Consider the following 18,490-nt stretch of genomic DNA (forward strand, 5'->3'; position numbering starts at 1 on the left):
AGGCAGAAAGATGGAAAGAGCCTGGGCCCTTCACCAATCCTAGAGCTACTTACCTCTGAAAATCTTATGTAAAAATGTGTGCTTATGTGAAAAATTTGTTATTAATGTTTAAGCTACTAATACTTGTTTAATGTTTAAGTTCTAATACTTGAAAGTGAGAGCATCCTGACAGATTCTGGTATTCAATCTTGAATTAAGATTAACCATATTCTCTGAATATAGACTAATAGCCAAAATTTATTTTAAATGTGTAAATAAAGAATAAGCATGAAAATAACCCAGGATAAAATACAGACTACTTTATAAGTCTGTGGTTACATAACAAATGATGTATGCAATCTAGACTAATAAAAGATCATATAAGTACAAAACCTAAATGCCATTTCAATATTTATCTTTAAACTTTTGTAGACTGATTTGGTTACACTAACCAACTTCTACTGTTAGTCGAACAATAAATATAACACTACACATTCTTTACCATTATTAAAGCAGAGTATATAACAATAAAGCTGATATATGTTGAGTAAATAGTATATGCCATATCTAAGTACTTTAATCAATTAGTCCTTACAACAACCTTTTCAGAAAAGCAATAAAGGTCCAAAAAGTAGAATAAAACAGCATTCTTTGATCTAAAACTCAAAATAACAAAATTAAAAAGGACCTTCCACCTGAACATTTTAACTCTCTACTTAAAAAATAACAAAGGCCAGGCATGATGACTCACACTTGTAAATCCCAGCACTTTGGGAGGCTGAGGCGGGTGGATCACAAGGTCCGTAATTCAAGACCAGCCTGGACAATATGGTGAAACCCTGCTTCTACTAAAAATACAAAAATTAGCCACACATGGTGGCAGGTGCCTATAACCCCAGCTACTCACAAGGCTGAGGCAGGGAACTGCTTGAACCCGGAAGGCAGACATTGCAGTGAGCTGAGATCATGCCACTGCACTCCAGCCTGGGCGACAGAGCAAGACTCCATCTCAAAAAAATAAATAAATAATAAAAAATAAAAAAAAACAATAAAAAGACTACATATTAGATCTCTAGAACAAATTAAAGCAGTGATCACAGGAAATTTTACAGTCTTAAACACTTCAATAAAAACAAAAGAATAAAATTAAACTCCCAACTCAGAACACTAGGAAAAAACTAGAAGATAAACCAAAAGAACTGTGGTGCTGGATTAGAGCTGGATTAGAGTGTGAATGCAAAATATCAAGTCATCACTTTTTAAAAATTTATTTTCTAGCCCTGACCATTTAAAAGAGCCTAGAAGCAATGACATCCCAGTGGGAACAAGCACACCGTGTGCTCACATCATGGTTTCTAAATACCATTTCAAATACATAAATGAACCAGGATCCCTAGGAAAAACTTCAGACATAATAGCAGCCAGCACTTGTTTAAAGATTGGACATGGCATATAGGGAAATAAAGAAATCAAGGAGTTTGATTCATTTGATTCATTCAAAGGCTTTTACAGCTGGGCACAGTGGCTCATGCCTGTAATCGCAGCACTTTGGGAGGCTAAGGCAGGCAGATCACTCGAGCCCAGAGACCAACCTGGGCAACATGGCAAAACCCTGTCTCTACAAACATACAAAAATTAGCTGAGTGGTGGTATGTACTTATGGTCCCAGCTACCTGGGAGGCTGAGGTGGGAGGATGGCTTTAGCCCAGGAGGCAGAGGTTGCGATTAACCAAGACTGCGCCACTGCACTCCAGCCTGGGTGACAGAGCCACACACTGCCTCAAAAAAAAAAAAAGGGTGGGGGGGAGTGGGAGGGAAGGAGGAAGGGATGAAGGGAAGAAGGGAGGGAGGGAGAAGGGAGGCAAGGAGGGAGGGAGGGAGGAAAGGAGGGAGGGAGGAAACAAGGAAGGAAGGAAGAGGTGATAATACATTATCTTTCAGATGTATTGAATTTGGCATAACCATGCTGTAGCCAATAAGGAGTACACATGTATACATACACACACCCCTGATGAAAAGAAAAGGATAGATTTGGGCCGGGTGTGATGGCTCACACCTATAATCCCAGCACTTTGGGAGGCTGAGGCAGGCAGATCACTTCAGGCCAGTTTGAGACCAGCCTGGCCAAAATGGTGAAACCCTGTCTCTACTAAAAATATAAAAAATGAGCCAGGCATAGTGGCATGTGCCTGTAATCCCAGCTACTCAGGAGGCTGGGGAAGGAGAATCGTTTGAACCCGGGAGGCAGAGGTCACAGTGAGCCAAGATCATGCCACTGCACTCCAGCCTGGGAGTTACAGCAAGACTCTGTCTTAAAAAAAAAAGACAAGATTTGAGAGTTCTGAGCATTACAGGCAGTACTTGAAATCACATGCAGATGAGACAGCTAAGGAGAGTGAAGATAGAAAAGGACCAAAGATACAAAATAAAGGGAAGAGAAAAGAGATAACAAAGATGACTAAGGAGTGGTCAGAATATAAGGAGGAAAACCAGAAGAGAAAGGTATCACACAAATGAAAGAAAAATCAAGTTAATCTCAATTTCAAGGACAGGAGTCACCAACCACATTAAACATATACATGACCAGAGATCAATTAAGATATGAAATGAAAAGGAGAATCTCAGAATTTGACAATTAAAAACTCAGTGGTAACTTGGACAGTGCAGTTTCAATAAAATTACTTAGCTCAAAGTTAGATTATAGAGTATAAAAACTAAACAGATGTTGAGGAAACTGAGACAATAAAGACTATTTGTCAAGAAACTTCTGTGTGAAAAGAGGCAAGGATAAGGCATCATGTAAGAAGAGGGCTTTTATGTTTAAGATGATAGAGACTTAAATACATATTGGGAGGAATGGAATTCAACAGACAGAGTAGGTGGGAGAGAAAGATTTCTCAGTATGCTGAAATCACTAAAGATGCCAGAAGGGATGGAAGAGGAGGGATTATCCTTGAAGAGAAAGGTACACTTTGCCCACAGAGATAGACAAAGACTAAGTATGAATACCAGTAGTTTTGTGTACGGGGCAAGAAGCTGAAGTTCTACCAGAAAGCCTTTATTTTCTTTCTGAAATAGAAAACTAGGAATGAACGACAGACATTCAACAGAATAATTAAGTACAAATTAGGAGTTGAAAAAATTCTTAATTTCAAATCCTGAAATAGTTTATCAACCAATCTGAATACAGTGACAACTATCACAAAGGGTAAAAGCATTCCATGCAGCACCCCCCTCCATTTTTTTTTTTCTGGAGACGGAGTCTTGCTCTGTCGCCCAGACTGGACTGCAGTGGCGAGATCCTGGCTCTCTGTAAGCTCCGCCTTCCAGGTTCATGCCATTCTCCTGCCTTAGCCTCCCGAGTAGCTGGGACTACAGGTGCCCACCACCACGCCCGGCTAATTTTTTGTATTTTTAGTAGAGACGGGATTTCACCGTGTTAGCCAGGATGGTCTTGATCTCCTGAACTCGTGATCTGCCCACCTCAGCCTCCCAAAGTGCTAGGATTACAGGCGTGAGCCACCATGCCCGGCCTGTAGTCCCCATTTTTATAATAAAGAAAAGCATTAGGAATAGGCAAGACATCTTCATGGTTTCAAGGTGAACATCAAAAAAAATTTCATCACAAGCTGGTGATTGGTTAGATGGACAGGAGCAATTGGGGCAACTCTTCAAAGCAGAATCACCATGTCAAAGGGACTAGCAATCAGTGTTTACCCAAATCACTGTATACCCAAAGATGATCAGAACTTCTGAGACCAATCACACTAATAAAAATGACTTAATGACTAAACCAGAGTTTACTAATTCATAATGAGGTTATCACTTTCCAATGAATTTCCATGAAAGTCACATTCCTATCCAGGATACCTACCTTTCTACTTTCAAAAGGTACCTAAGAAGCTGAGTATTCAGAAAACATAAACTCAGAAAAAGAAAGGCAGAAATGGCATAACGGAGAGATAGTCCCTGATCTGTAGAAAAGCAAGATGAAGTATTAATAGTCTGCCTCTCCAGACCTCTCCTCTACACAACCCCAGATTCAGTGTCTCTTGTTAACAGCAGTTTTATCCTGCTTCTCTGACACCCACTTTTGATGCTAATCATTCCCATCTCTATACTACATTGTTTCCTTAAACGTTAAAATCAATGATTAGGATTCCGTGAAGGTGCTTTTCCTGTCTATCTATATGTTAACGTACATGGATTAAATCTTAGGAGTTCTAAGGGCACCTCACTTTCTCAGTCTCCAAACTTGTCTTTACTAAAAAACTTAAAAGACCACAGAGAAAAGGAAACAGGGGTTTGAAAGAGAAGCAAAGCTTGGGGAAAAAAAAGAAAAGAAAGAAACAAAAGGAAGAAATAAACAGGGGAAGGGGGGAATCAGACAAAAAATAAATTAGGGCATTTTTCTTCTGATGTATTAGGCTTTGAAATTATTTTAGGTTACATGAACACTACAGTAGTTAAACTGGAATGGCTCAGACACTAAGAAATTTATACTCTGGTTTTTAAAGGAATGGCAGGTGAAAAATAAAACCTATTCATCTCACTTCTGCTAACCATAAAAATAAAATGCACTAGAATTCACCAGCATGTCTATAAAATTGGCACTACAGTATCCGGGGTCACCCTCTTATTTGTCATCCCTGTCAAAAACTACTAAAAAATTAACAAAGAACTTTCTAAATCAAATTACGCCACATTTCACAATTTATTCTCCATTCATCTCAAAGGTAAATGAAAAATATGGCTCAAGGTTTAAAGAACAACAGTATATGAGTGGCCTCCCGTGACCAGGTAACTGTTCCACACAGTTCATGCATTTAAAACTCCCACGAGAAATGGCCCATGAGCCAGGCACAGCAGCGCATACCAACCAGCAATACTCAAGAGGCGGAGGCAAGAGGATCACTTGAGCCAAGGAGTTCAAGGCTAGCCTGGGCAACATCAGGAGACTACATCTTTATTTAAAAATTTAAAAAAGCCCAAGACATTGATACCTGAGTCTTCACACGTCTTGTTCTCTTCGGCAGAATGTTCATCCTTGTGCCTGGCTCTGGGGAAGTTTGGGTATCAGTGCTGAGAACCTCAGGCTCCACTTTTTCTTTAAGATCTAAATTAGGCATCTGCACACCCTAAAAGATCAGAGCACAGAAAGAGAGCAGGTTCACTGATAAGAAATCATGCTGGAGAATCAGTGTAAAAGTAATAAATTGCCAATGAATCCCTAAAACTAGACCGCAATTATTTCTCAAACTGACATACAGCTATCCCTACCAAAATCCTGGCAGGCTTTTTGTTGTTGTTAAAATTGAAAGCCGACCCTAAAATTTATTTGGAAATATAAGTTGTTTAGAAATTTTGAAAAAAAGAACAAAAAACTTACACTACTGAATATCAACATTTACCATAAAGCTACAGTACTCAAGACAATGTAGTACTGGTTTTAGGGTAGACATATAAATCAGTGCAACAAAAACAGAGTTCAGAAATAAACCCACACATTTATGGTCAACTGATCTCCAACAATGGTGGTGAGCTAAATCAGTGGGAAAAGGATAGCCTTTTAAACAAATGGCGCTGGTACTACTCAATATTCATATACCCCCTTCCCCACCAAAAAATAAACTTACATCTTCACCTCATACTATACACACAAAAAAAGCCTCAAAATGCATCACTGACCAAAATATAAAAGCCGAAATTGTAAAATTTCTACATTAAAGCAAAGAAGAAAATCTTTGTGACCTTGGAAAAGATTTCTTAAATATGACACCAAAAGCACAATCCATAGAAGGAAAAAAGAAATAAAAAAATGGTTCTTCAAAAAGTGACCAGTACAAAAATGAAAAGATAACAGACTAGGAGAAAATATCTGCAAATCATTTACCTGATAAAGGAGTTGTACACAAACTGTATAACAAATTCACAAGTATAAGACAAACAACCCAATTAAAAAAAGATCTGAACAGACACTTCACCAAGATATACAAATGTTTAATATGAATATGAAAATAGGCACATCACTAGTCATTAGAGAAATGCAAATTAAAACCACAATAAGGTATCACTATACAACTAACTAGAATGGCTATAATTAAAAAAACTGACAATACCAAGTGTTGACCAGGATGTGGAAAAACTAGAAGCCTCTACATTACTGGTGGGAAAGTAAAATGATTCAGCCATTTTGGAAAACAACTTGGCAGTCCTTAAAAATTTACACAGGCCGGGTGCGGTGGCTCACGCCTATAATCTCAGCACTTTGGGTGGCCAAGGTGGGTGGACCACTTGAAGTCAGGAGTTCAAGACCAGCCTGGCCAACATGATGAAACCCTGTCTCTACTAAAAATACAAAAATTAGCTGGGGGTGGTGGCATGCACCTGTAGTCTCAACTACTCTACTCAGGAGGCTGAGGTAGGAGAATCACTTGAAACCGGGAGGCGGAGGCTGCAGTGAGCCGAGTTCACGCCACTGCACTCCAGCCTGGGCGACACAGCAAGATTCCACCTCAAAAAAAAAAAAAATTTACACATAAACGGCCGGGCGCAGTGGCTCACACCTGTAATCCCAGCACTTTGGGAGGCCGAGGTGAGTGGATCACGAGGTCAGGAGATCGAGACCATCCTGGCTAACACGGTGAAACTCCGTCTCTACTAAAAATACAAAAAATTCTGTGGGCGTGGTGGTGGGCACCTGTAGTCCCAGCTACTCGGGAGGCTGAGGCAGGAGAATGGCGTGAGCCCAGGAGGCGGAGCTTGCAGCAAGCCGAGATCGCGCCACTGCACTCCAGCCTGGGCGACGGAGTCTCATCTCAAAAAAAAAAAAAAAAACAAACAAACAAATTTACACATAAACTTACTATATAACCCAGCAATTCCACTCCCAAGTACCTACCCAAGAGAAATGAAAACATATGTCCACTCAAAGACTTGTCTATGAATATTCATAGCATTATTCATAATAGCCATAAACTGGAAACAATCTAAAACTCCATCAACTGGTAAATGGATAAACAAAATGTGGTATATCCATTCAATGGAATATTATTCAGCCATAAAAATAAAGTACTGACACATGCTATAGCATGGCTGAACTTTTTTTTTTGAGACAGGGTCTCACTCTGTCACCCAGGCTGGAGTGCAGTGGCAGGATCTCAGCTTACTGCAACCTCCATCTCCCAGGCTGAAGCAATCATCCTACCACAGTCTCTGGAGTAGCTGGGACCACTGGCGCACACCACCATACCTGGCTAATTTTTTGTATTTTTAGTAGAGACAGGGTTTCACCATGATGCCCAGGCTGGTCTCAAACTTCTGGCCTCAAACGATCCACCCACCTCAGCCTCCCACAGTGCTGAGATTACAGGCATTAGCCACCGCATCCAGCCAACATGGCTGAACTCTGAAAACATTAGGCTAAGTGAAAAAAGCCAGACACAAAATCATATTGTATGATTACATCTAGGTGAAAGTTCTAGAAAAGACAAACTACAGAGCCAGAAAGCGGGTCAGGAATTGCCTGTGTGTGGGGGTGGTACAGGAACCAACTACAAATGAACAAGAGAATTTTGGGGGCTAGTGGAAGTGCTCTAAAACTGGATCACAGTGATCGCTGCATAAATGTAGAAATGTATTAAAGCTTACCAACGGTGCACCCACAAAGGGTGAATTCTATGGTATATAAATCATAACTAATAAAGCTGTTTTAGAAAAATTCATGAAACAAACAGGACTTTTTCAAAAAGTTTCAGTCATAAAGGTTTATTTTAAATAAATAAGAAAACATTCTTCATTTCCATTATTCTTTATCTTGTAAACCATCAAAAACAGCTATGATTTTTACACTATGATATACACTTTGCTTCCCCAAATTTTGGTGCCTGCTAACTTGGGTTAAACACAGTCTAAAGTTTGTACTTGGGCAAACTGGATTTATCAACTTTTTCTAAAAAGAATAATGCATCTCACCATAAGGCTCACACCAGACTGGAAAAGCTCATATGGGTAGAGAATTCTTTCATAATGTGACTTCAAAAGAGACCCAGTTCCTTTTCCTGGCAGATATCCCAAGCGACTACCCACTTTAGACCATTTCTTCTCTTTGGTGACCATTTCAAAACCTCCTTTGCTGGCAACAATCTGAAAAGAAAGTAAAAGTTGCTTAGAGAAAAAAGGCAAATTCAAGCATCTTGACTCTTAAGTCTTGTCTACTAAATAGAAAAATTATTCAGGGCTTAAATTTCAAATTTCCTTTCAATGAGTATCTAACCAAACTGACACTTGTCAACATTTAGAGTAAGAAATAGAAACAATGCTTTTCAGAGGTTTAAAATGTAATTAACATTATGCCTACCTTCAAACCAAGCATTCAAAAATATTTAATGAATACTCTGTACAGTACGCACTGTGAGAAAACTAAACACATGTACAGACAGACTACCTACTTAAGGAACTCACAATATGAAATAAGAATAAAAACAGATAAAAAATAGATATGAAAATAAATGTTATATAATACAAAATAAACATAAATCCTGAAATTAGAAATAACCAAGTAACTTACAGAACTTAACAAAAACGTCAATCAAACCATGAATACAGAGGACAGTTGTGAAAAACAGGCTATAATTTTTCAAAAGGGCAAGAGTTTTATATGGAAGATCATAAAGGAACACTGAAAAAGATTAGGTTGCAGTAGATTTACCGATACGGAGTACAGAATATATTAAGGTAGAAAACGATGAGATAAATTGGCTAACTTGGCTGAATGGTCACATCAAGCCAGGCACTCTACAGAATACATATTTCAAAGCTCCTTAACGTCCAGGAGCTGTTACTATACATCTCTTAGGCTCTAAAATACAGTCATGCACTGCATAACATTTTGGTCAAATATAGACCGCATATATGACAGTGCTCCCATAAGATTATAATACCATATTCTTACTGAACCTTTGTGTTTAGATACATACACAAATACTTACCATTGTGTTACACTGCCTACAGTATTCAGTAGAGTAACAGGCTGTACACCTTTAGGTCTAGGAGCAACAGGTTATACCACATAGCCTAGGTATGCAGTAGGCCATACCATCTGGGTTTGTATAAGTACATTCTATGTTTGCACAATAATGAAATCCTCATGTTTTTCAGAACATATCCCTGTCATTAAGTGACACGATTGTACAGGCAGTTTTCAATTTCACTGAGAATAAAGGGGACTGTGACACAGTGTTCAAACTCAGTTTCTCCTATTTGATTGAGTATATACTACTGTATCTTACTACATAAAAAAAAAGTTAAAGCCAGGCATAGTGGCTCACATCTGTAATTCTAACACTTTGGGAGGCCAAGGCAGGAGGATCACTTGAGCCCAGGAGTTTCAAACCATGCTGGACAATATAGTGAGGCCCCCATCTCTACAAAAAAATTTAAAAATTAGCTGGGCAGGTTGGGCAGGGTGGCTTATGCCTGTAATCCCAGGACTTTGGGAGGCAGAGCTGGGCAAATAGCCTGAGCTCAGGAGTTCAAGAGCAGCCTGCGCAACATAGTGAAACCCCATCTCTTCTAAAAAAATATACAAAGAATTAGCCAGACGTGGTGGTGCACACCTATAATCCCAGCTACTCAGGAGGCTGAGGCCCAAGAATCACTTGAACCCAGGAGGCAAAGGTTGCAGTTAGCTGAGATTGTGCCACTGCACTCCAGCCTGGACAGTAGAGTGAGACTCCATCTCCGAAAAAAAAAAATTAACCAGGCAGGTGGTGTACCTGTAGTTCCCAGCTACCTGGGAGGCCAAGGCAGGAGGATCAGTTGAACCCAGGAGATCAAGGCTGCAGCGAGCCATGATCACACCCCTGCACTCTGGCCTGGCTGATCCTGTCTCAAGTGACCCTGTCTCAAAAAAAAAAAAAAGTTAAAAGTTAAACATAAAATTACCATATGATGCTGCAATTTCACTTCTAGATATATACTCAAAGAACTGAAAGGAGGGACTCAAACAGATTCTTGCACACCAATGTTCACAGCAGCAATACTCTTGAGAGTCAAAACAGAACCCAAAAGTTTATCAACAGATAAATGAATAAACGAAATGTAGTATAATAAAATACAATGGAATATTATTCTGCCTTAGAAAGTTCTGATACATCCCAAACATGAATGAATTTTGAAAATATAAAATAAGCCAGAGACAAAATGATGACTACTGCATAATTCCATTTATATAAGCTACATAGAGTAAGCAAATTCATAGAGACAGAAAGCATAATAGAAGTTGCCAGGAGTGGTGGAAGGGAGAAGTCCTGGAACTATATAGTGGTGATAACTGTACAACACTGTAAATGTACTTAATGCCACTCAACTGTGTATTTTTAAATGTTGATGCTACATATACAATTTTTTAAAAAAAGATGAAAAGAAGACTCGAGCCAGACTGCCAGTATTCAAATTTCAGTTCTGTCACTTACTAGTTATATGACCTTGGCCAGGCGTCGTGGCTCACATCTGTAATCCCAGCACTTTGGAGGCTGAGGCAGGCGGATCACCTGAGGTCAGCAGTTCGAGACCAGCCTGGCCAACATGGTGAAACTCCGTCTCAACTAAAAATACCAAAAATTAGCCAAGCATGGTGGTGCACACCTATCATCCCAGCTACTAGGGAGGCTGAGGAAGGAGAATCGCTTGAACCCGGGAGGAGGAGGTTGCAGTGAGCCAGATTGCACCACTGAACTCCAGCCTGGGCAAGAGCGAGACCCTGTCTCAAGGAAAAAACAAACAGACAAAACACAGTTACATGACCCTGGCAAAGTTACATACCTTGCAATTCAATTTCCTCACCATCATCAAAATAGTAACAACGGTGCCTACACCTCGTTATGAGGCTACTGTGAGGACAAATAAAATAAAATATGAAAAGCACCAGGATAAAGTACTATACCAATGTTGCTATATTACAAATGTCTATGAGTGTGGACAAATGGAGGAGAGGGTACACATACTAAAAATAAGTGAAGGAAATGTTTTCAACTCTTGTGCTTTATGATGTTATTATAAACAAAGATGAACCTATGGCCGAAGTACAATTTTCCTCTAGTGAATGATCTAAAAGCTTGGTAGAAACACAAATTCATATGCACAAGAGTTGAACACATCTCTTTAGTTCTTCAGCTCCTCCTATCACACCCTCAAAGAAGCCCTCTCTGTTCAAACAATCAATCAGGGGAAAATCATACAGAGACAAAAATTATTTTTCAAAGTACAGAGAAAGACACAATGAAAATGGTTTAGATAGAGGGCTGTCTGGAAGCAACTGGATGGATTAGAGTGCCTTTCATTCAACAGGTAACTTTCAGTGCTTCTATACTGCCAGCTACTATTCTAGGTACCTGGGATACATTTATGAATAAAACAAAGATCTTTGTCACATTTTATGAATAAAACAAAGATCTTTGTCCTCATGGAGCTTACATTCTAGTGGAGGAAGACAGACAATAAACAATGAACATAATATATAAATTTTGAAGGGATAAATATTGTAGAAGAAATTAAAAAGCAGTCAAGGGGCCTCCAGGTAACAGGGTAAAGATAATCTGAAGTATTAAACGATTGCAAAAAGCCTTATTATAAAGATGAAATCTAAGCAAAGACTTGAAAGGAGTGAAGTAGTTAACTAGCAGATATAAAGGGAACAGACAAAGCAAAGGCTCCAAGTCAGAAGCATGTCTAGAGTGTTTGAGGAAAATAAGGAAGCCAGTGTGGCTAAAGCAAAGTGAACAAGCAGGGAGAAGTAAAAGAACTCAGGGAGGCAACAGAAGCCCTCTTATCTTTACTATCCAATACAATAATCACTCTGACATAATAATCTGCTTTGTATTCAAAGCATTTCAAGCTAAATTTCCATTAGTTATGATACACCTGCATGGATCCAGTCATGATGTCCCACCCAGTTCTGGTGATTAGTAGCAGCCAGGATACGGCCATGACAAAGGAATAAACTATCTCACAAAGAAAACAAAACCATTACTTTGGCTCCACGCATACAATACTCTAACAATCTAACCAAAAAACACACAAAACCTAATACCTGTTTTTCTTTGGCTGGCAGATTCAAAGATTATCATACATAATTTAAAAATACAAACCAGGCCAGGCATAGTGGCTCATGCCTGTAATCCCAGTACTTTGGGAGGCCGAGGCAGGTGGATCACCTGAGGTCGAGAGTTCGAAACCAGCCTGGCCAACATGGTGAAACCCTGTCTCTACTAAAAATACAAAAATTAGCAGGGCGTGGTGGCAGGCACCTGTAATCCCAGTTACTTGGGAGGCTGAGGCAGGAGAATCACTTGAACCCAGGAGGCGGGGATTGCAGGGAGCTGGTTTCATGCCACCTCATTCCAGCCTGGGCAACACAGCGAGACTCTGTCTCAAAAATAAATAAAAATTAAAAATAAAATACAAACCATTTACTCCAAATATTTGCCATGTACTATATCACAACACTGTCCCCAGAAATATCACTATGAACCATGCTCTATAAAAAGATACATGGCATGCACTTGAATTGAACACAATGAAGACAAGCCGTTTATCAAAACTTGACCAAAAAGTAGTATCGCTCAAGACCAAAACAGCTGGGAACAGAGACTTTTTTTTTTTTTAATTATACTTTAAGTTCTAGGGTAGTACATGTGCACAACGTGCAGGTTTGTTACATATGTATACGTGTGCCACGTTGGTGTGCTGCACACATTAACTAATCACTTACATTAGGTATATCTCCTAATGCTATCCCTCCCCACTACCCCCACCCTACGACAGGCCCCGGTGTGTGATGTTCACCTTCCTGTGTCCAAGTGTTCTCATTGTTCAATTCCCACCTATCAGTGAGAACATGCGGTGTTTGGTTTTCTGTTCTTGTGACAGTTTGCTGAGAATGATGGTTTCCAGCTTCATCCATGTCCCTGGAAAGGGCATGATCTCATCCTTTTTTATGGCTGCATAGTATTCCATGGTGCATATGTGCCACATTTTCTTAATCCAGTCTATCATTGATGGACATTTGGGTTGGTTCCAAGTCTTTGCTATTGTGAATAGTGCCACAATAAACATATGTGTGCATGTGTCTTTATAACAGCATGATTTATAATCCTTTGGGTATATACCCAGTAATGGGATGGCTGGGTCAAATGGTATTTCTAGTTCAAGATCCTTGAGGAATCACCACACTGTTTTCCACAATGGTTGAACTAGTTTATAGTCCCACTAACAGTGTAAAATTGTTCCTATTTCTCCACATCCTCTCCAGCACCTGTTGTTTCCTGACTTTTTAATGATCACCACTCTAACTGGAGTGAGATGGTATCTCATTGTGGTTTTGATTTGCATTTCTCTGATGGCCAGTGATGAGCATTTTTTCATGTGTCTGTTGGCTGCATAGATGTCTGCTTTTGAGAAGCGTCTGTTCATATCCTTTGCCCACTTTATGATGGGGTTGTTTTTTTCTCGTAAATTTGAGTTCTTTGTAGATTCTGGATATTAGCCCTTTGTCAGATGAGTAGACTGCAAAAATTTTCTCCCCTTCTGTAGGTTGCTTGTTTACTCTGATGGTAGTTTCTTTTGTTGTGCAGAAGTTCTTTAGTTTAATTAGATCCCATTTGTCTATTTTGGCTTTTGTTGCCATTGCTTTTGGTGTTTTAGACATGAAGTCCTTGCCCATGCCTATGTCCTGAATGGTACTGCCTAGGTTTTCTAGGGTTTTTATGGTTTTAGGTCTAACATTTAAGTCTTTAATCCATCTTCAATTAATTTTTGTATAAGTTGTAAGGAAGGGATCCAGTTTCAGCTTTCTACATATGGCTAGCCAGTTTTCCCAGCACCATTAAATAGGGAATCCTTTCCCCATTTCTTGTTTTTGTCAGGTTTGTCAAAGATCAGACGGTTGCAGATGTATGGTATTATTTCTGAAGGCTCTGTTCTGTTCCATTGGTCTCTATCTCTGTTTTGGTACCAGTACCATGCTGTTTTGGTTACTGTAGCCTTGTAGTATAGTTTGAAGTCAGGAAGCATGATGCCTCCAGCTTTGTTCTTTTGGCTTAGGATTGACTTGGCAATGTGGGCTCTTTTTTGGTTCCGTATGAACTTTAAAGTAGTTTTTTCCAATTCTGTGAAGAAAGTCATTGGTAGCTTGATGGGGATGGCACTGAATCTATAAACTACCTTGGGCAGTATGGCCATTTTCACGATAATGATTCTTCCTATCCATGAGCATGGAATATTCTTCCATTTGTTTGTGTCCTCTTTTATTTCATTGAGCAGTGGTTTGTAGTTCTCCTTGAAGAGGTCCTTCACATCCCTTGTAAGTTGGATTCCTAGGTATTTTATTCTGTTTGAAGCAATTGTGAATGGGAGTTCACTCATGATTTGGCTCTCTGTTATTGGTGTATAAGAATGCTTGTGATTTTTGCACATTGATTTTGTATCCTGAGACTTTGCTGAAGTTGCTTTTCAGCTTTAGGAGATTTTGGGCTGAGATGATGGGGTTTTCTAAATATACAGTCATGTCATCTGCAAACAGGGACAACTTGACTTCCTCTTTTCCTGATTGAATACCCTTTATTTCTTTTTCCTGCCTGACTGCCCTGGCCAGAACTTCCAACACTATGTTGAATAGGAGTGGTGAGAGAGGGCATCCCTGTATTGTACTAGTTTTCAAAGGGAATGCTTCCAGTTTTTGCCCATCCAGTATGATATTGGCTGTGGGTTTGTCATAAATAGCTCTTATTATTTTGACATACGTCCCATCAATACCTAATTTATTGAGAGTTTTTAGCATGAAGCATTGTTGAATTTTGTCAAAGGCCTTTTCTGCATCTATTGAGATAATTGTGTGGTTTTTGTCTTTGGTTCTGTTTATATGCTGGATTACGTTTATTGATTTGCGTATATTGAACCAGTCTTGCATCCCAGGGATGAAGCCCATTTGATCATGGTGGATAAGCTTTTTGATGTGCTGCTGGATTTGGTTTGCCAGTATTTTATTGAAGATTTTCGCATCGATGTTCATCAGGGATATTGGTCTAAAATTCTCTTTTTTTGTTGGGTCTCTGCCAGGCTTTGGTATCAGGATGATGCTGGCCTCATAAAATGAGTTAGGGAGAATTCCCTCTTGTTCTATTGACTGGAATAGTTTCAGAAAGAATGGTACCAGCTCCTCCTTGTACATCTGGTAGAATTTGGCTGTGAATCTATCTGGTCCTGGACTGTTTTTGGTTGGTAGGCTATTAATTATTGCCTCAATTTCAGAGCCTGTTATTGGTCTATTCAGGGATTCAACTTCTTCCTGGTTTAGTCTTGGGAGGGTGTATGTCTCCAGGAATTTATCCATTTCTTCTAGATTTTCTAGTTTATTTGCATAGAGGTGTTTATTCTCTGATGGTAGTTTGTATTTCTGTGGGATTGGTGGTGATATCCCCTTTATCATTTTTTATTGCGTCTATTTGATTCTTCTTTCCTTTTTTGTCTTGCTAGTGGTCTATCAATTTTGTTGATCTTTTCAAAAAACCAGCTCCTGGATTCATTGATTTTTTGAAGGGTTTTTTGTGTCTCTATCTCCTTCAGTTCTGCTCTGATTTTAGTTATTTCTTGCCTTCTGCTAGCTTTTGAATGTGTTTGTACTTCCTTCTCTAGTTCTTTTAATTGTGATGTTAGGGTGTCAATTTTAGATCTTTCCTGCTTTCTCTTGTGGGCATTTAGTGCTATAAATTTCCCTCTACACACTGCTTTGAATGTGTCCCAGACATTCTGGTATGTTGTGTTTTTGTTCTCATTGGTTTCAAAGAACATCTTTATTTCTGCCTTCATTTCGTTATGTACCCAGTAGTCATTCAGGAGCAGGTTGTTCAGTTTCCATGTAGTTGAGTGGTTTTGAGTGAGTTTGTTAATCCTGAGTTCTAGTTTGATTGCACTGTGGTCTGAGAGACAGTTTGTTATAATTTCTGGTCTTTTTCATTTGCTGAGGAGGGCTTTACTTCCAACTATGTGGTCAAATTTTGGAATAAGTGTGATGCAGTGCTGAGAAGAATGCATATTCTGTTGCTTTGGGGTGGAGAGTTCTGTAGATGTCTATTAGATCTGCTTGGTGCAGAGCTGATTTCAATTCCTGGATATCCTTGTTAACTTTCTGTCTCGTTGATCTGTCTAATATTGACAGTAGGGTGTTAAAGTCTCCCATTATCATTGTGTGGGAGTCTAAGTCTCTTTGTGGGTCTCTAAGGACTTGCTTTAGGAATCTGGGTGCTCCTGTATTGGGTGCATATATATTTAGGATAGTTAGCTCTTCTTGTTGCATTGATCCCTTTACCATTATGTAATGGCCTTGTCTCTGATCTTTGTTGGTTTAAAATCTGTTTTATCAGAGACTAGGATTGCAACCCCTGCCTTTTTTGTTTTCCATTTGCTTGGTAGATCTTCCTCCATCCCTTTATTTTGAGCCTGTGTGTGTCTCTGCATGTGAGATGGGTCTCCTGAATAAAGCACACTGGTGGATCTTGACTCTTTATCCAATTTGCCAGTCTGTGTCTTTTAACTGGAGCATTTAGCCCATTTACATTTAAGGTTAATACTGTTATGTGTGAATTTGATCCTGTCATTATGATGTTAGCTGATTATTTTGCTCGTTAGTTGATGCAGTTTCTTCCTGGCATCGATGGTCTTTACAGTTTGGCATGTTTTTGCAGTGGCTGGTACCAGTTGTTCCTTTACATGTTTAGTGCTTCCTTCAGGAGCTCTTGTAGGGCAGGCCTGGTGGTGACAAAATCTCTCAGCATTTGCTTGTCTGTAAAGGATTATATTTCTCCTTCACTTATGAAGCTTAGTTTGGCTGGATATGAAATTATGGGTTGAAAATTCTTTTTTTTTTAAGAATGTTGAACATTGGCCCCCACTCTCTGCTGGCTTGCAGAGTTTCTGCCGAGAGATCCGCTGTTAGTCTGATGGGCTTCCCTTTGTGGGTAACCCGATCTTTCTCTCTGGCTGCCCTTAACATTTTTTCCTTCATTTCAACTTTGGTGAATCTGACAATTATGTGTCTTGGAGTTGCTCTTCTCCAGGAGTATCTTTGTGGCGTTCTCTGTATTTCCTGAATTTGAATGTCGGCCTGCCTTGCTAGGTTGGGGAAGTTCTCCTGGATAATATCCTGCAGAGTGTTTTCCAGCTTGGTTCCATTCTCCCCATCACTTTCAGGTACACCAATCAGACACAGACTTGGTCTTTTCACATAGTCCCACATTTCTTGGAGGCTTTGTTTCTTTTTACTCTTTTTTCTCTAAAGTTCTCTTCTCACTTCATTTCATTAATTTGATCTTCAATCACTGATACCCTTTCTTCCAAATGATCAAATTGGCTACTGAAGCTTGTGCATTCATCACGTAGTTGTTCTCGTGCCATGGTTTTCAGCTCCATCAGGTCATTTAAAGACTTCTCTACACTGGTTATTCTATTTAGCCATTTGTCTAATCTTTTTACAAGGTTTTTAGCTTCTTTGCGATGGGTTCGAACTTCCTCCTTTAGCTCGGAGAAGTCTGATCGTCTGAAGCCTTCTTCTCTCAACTCATCAAAGTCATTCTCTGTCCAGCTTTGTTCCGTTGCTGGCGAGAAGCTGTGTTCCTTTGGCGGGGGAGAGGTGCTCTGCTCTGATTTTTCTAATTTTCAGTTTTTCTGCTCTGCTTTTTCCCCATCTTTGTGGTTTTATCTATCTTTGGTCTTTGATGATGGTGATGTACAAATGGGATTTTGGTGTGGATGTCCTTTCTGTTTGTTAGTTTTCCTTCTAACAGTCAGGACCCTCAGCTGCAGGTCTGTTGGAGTTTGCTGGAGGTCCACTCCAGACCCTGTTTGCCTGTGTATCAGCAGCGGAGGCTGTAGAACAGCGAATGTTGCCGAACAGCAAATATTGCTGCCTGATCCTTCCTCTGGAAGCTTTGTCTCAGAGGGATACCCGGCCATGTGGGTGTCAAGGCTGCCCCTACGAGGCGGTGCCTCCCAGTTAGGCTACTTGGGGGTCAGGGACCCACATAAGGAGGCAGTCTGCCCGTTCTCAGATCTCAAACTCCATGCTGGGAGAACCACTGCTCTCTTCAAGGCTGTCAGACAGGGACATTTAAGTCTGCAGAGGTTTCTACTACCTTTTGTTTGGCCATGCCCTGCCCCCAGAGGTGGAGTCTACAGAGGAAGGCAGGCCTCCTTGAGCTGCGGTGGGCTCCACCCAGTTCGAGCTTCTGGGCTGCTTTGTTTACCTACTCAAGCCTCAGCAATTGTGGGCACCCATCCCCCAGGCTCGCTGCCACCTTGTAGTTCCATCTCAGACTGCTGTGCTAGCAATGAGCGAGGCTCCGTGGGCGTGGGACCCTCCAAGCCAGGTGCAGGATATAATCTCCTGGTGTGCCGTTTGCTAAGACCATTGGAAAAGCACAGTGTTACGGTGGGAGTGACCCAATTTTCCAGGTGC

The 18,490-nt window shown here is 40.1% G+C and overlaps 1 protein-coding gene across 1 annotated transcript in view; it reads right to left on the reverse strand.

The window, feature by feature from the left end:
- KDM5A (lysine demethylase 5A) overlaps positions 1–18,490 on the reverse strand; it is a 109,264-nt gene that overhangs the window by 77,924 nt on the left and 12,850 nt on the right. Inside the window, exons 4-5 of the mRNA NM_001042603.3 lie at positions 7,954–8,124; positions 4,983–5,117 (exon numbers count right to left, since the gene is read on the reverse strand). Coding sequence (NP_001036068.1) covers positions 4,983–5,117; positions 7,954–8,124 — 306 coding nt within the window. The remainder of the gene's footprint in view (positions 1–4,982; positions 5,118–7,953; positions 8,125–18,490) is intronic.

This window comes from Homo sapiens, chromosome 12 (assembly GCF_000001405.40).
Source record: "Homo sapiens chromosome 12, GRCh38.p14 Primary Assembly".
In the NCBI taxonomy this organism is placed as follows: domain Eukaryota; kingdom Metazoa; phylum Chordata; class Mammalia; order Primates; family Hominidae; genus Homo; species Homo sapiens.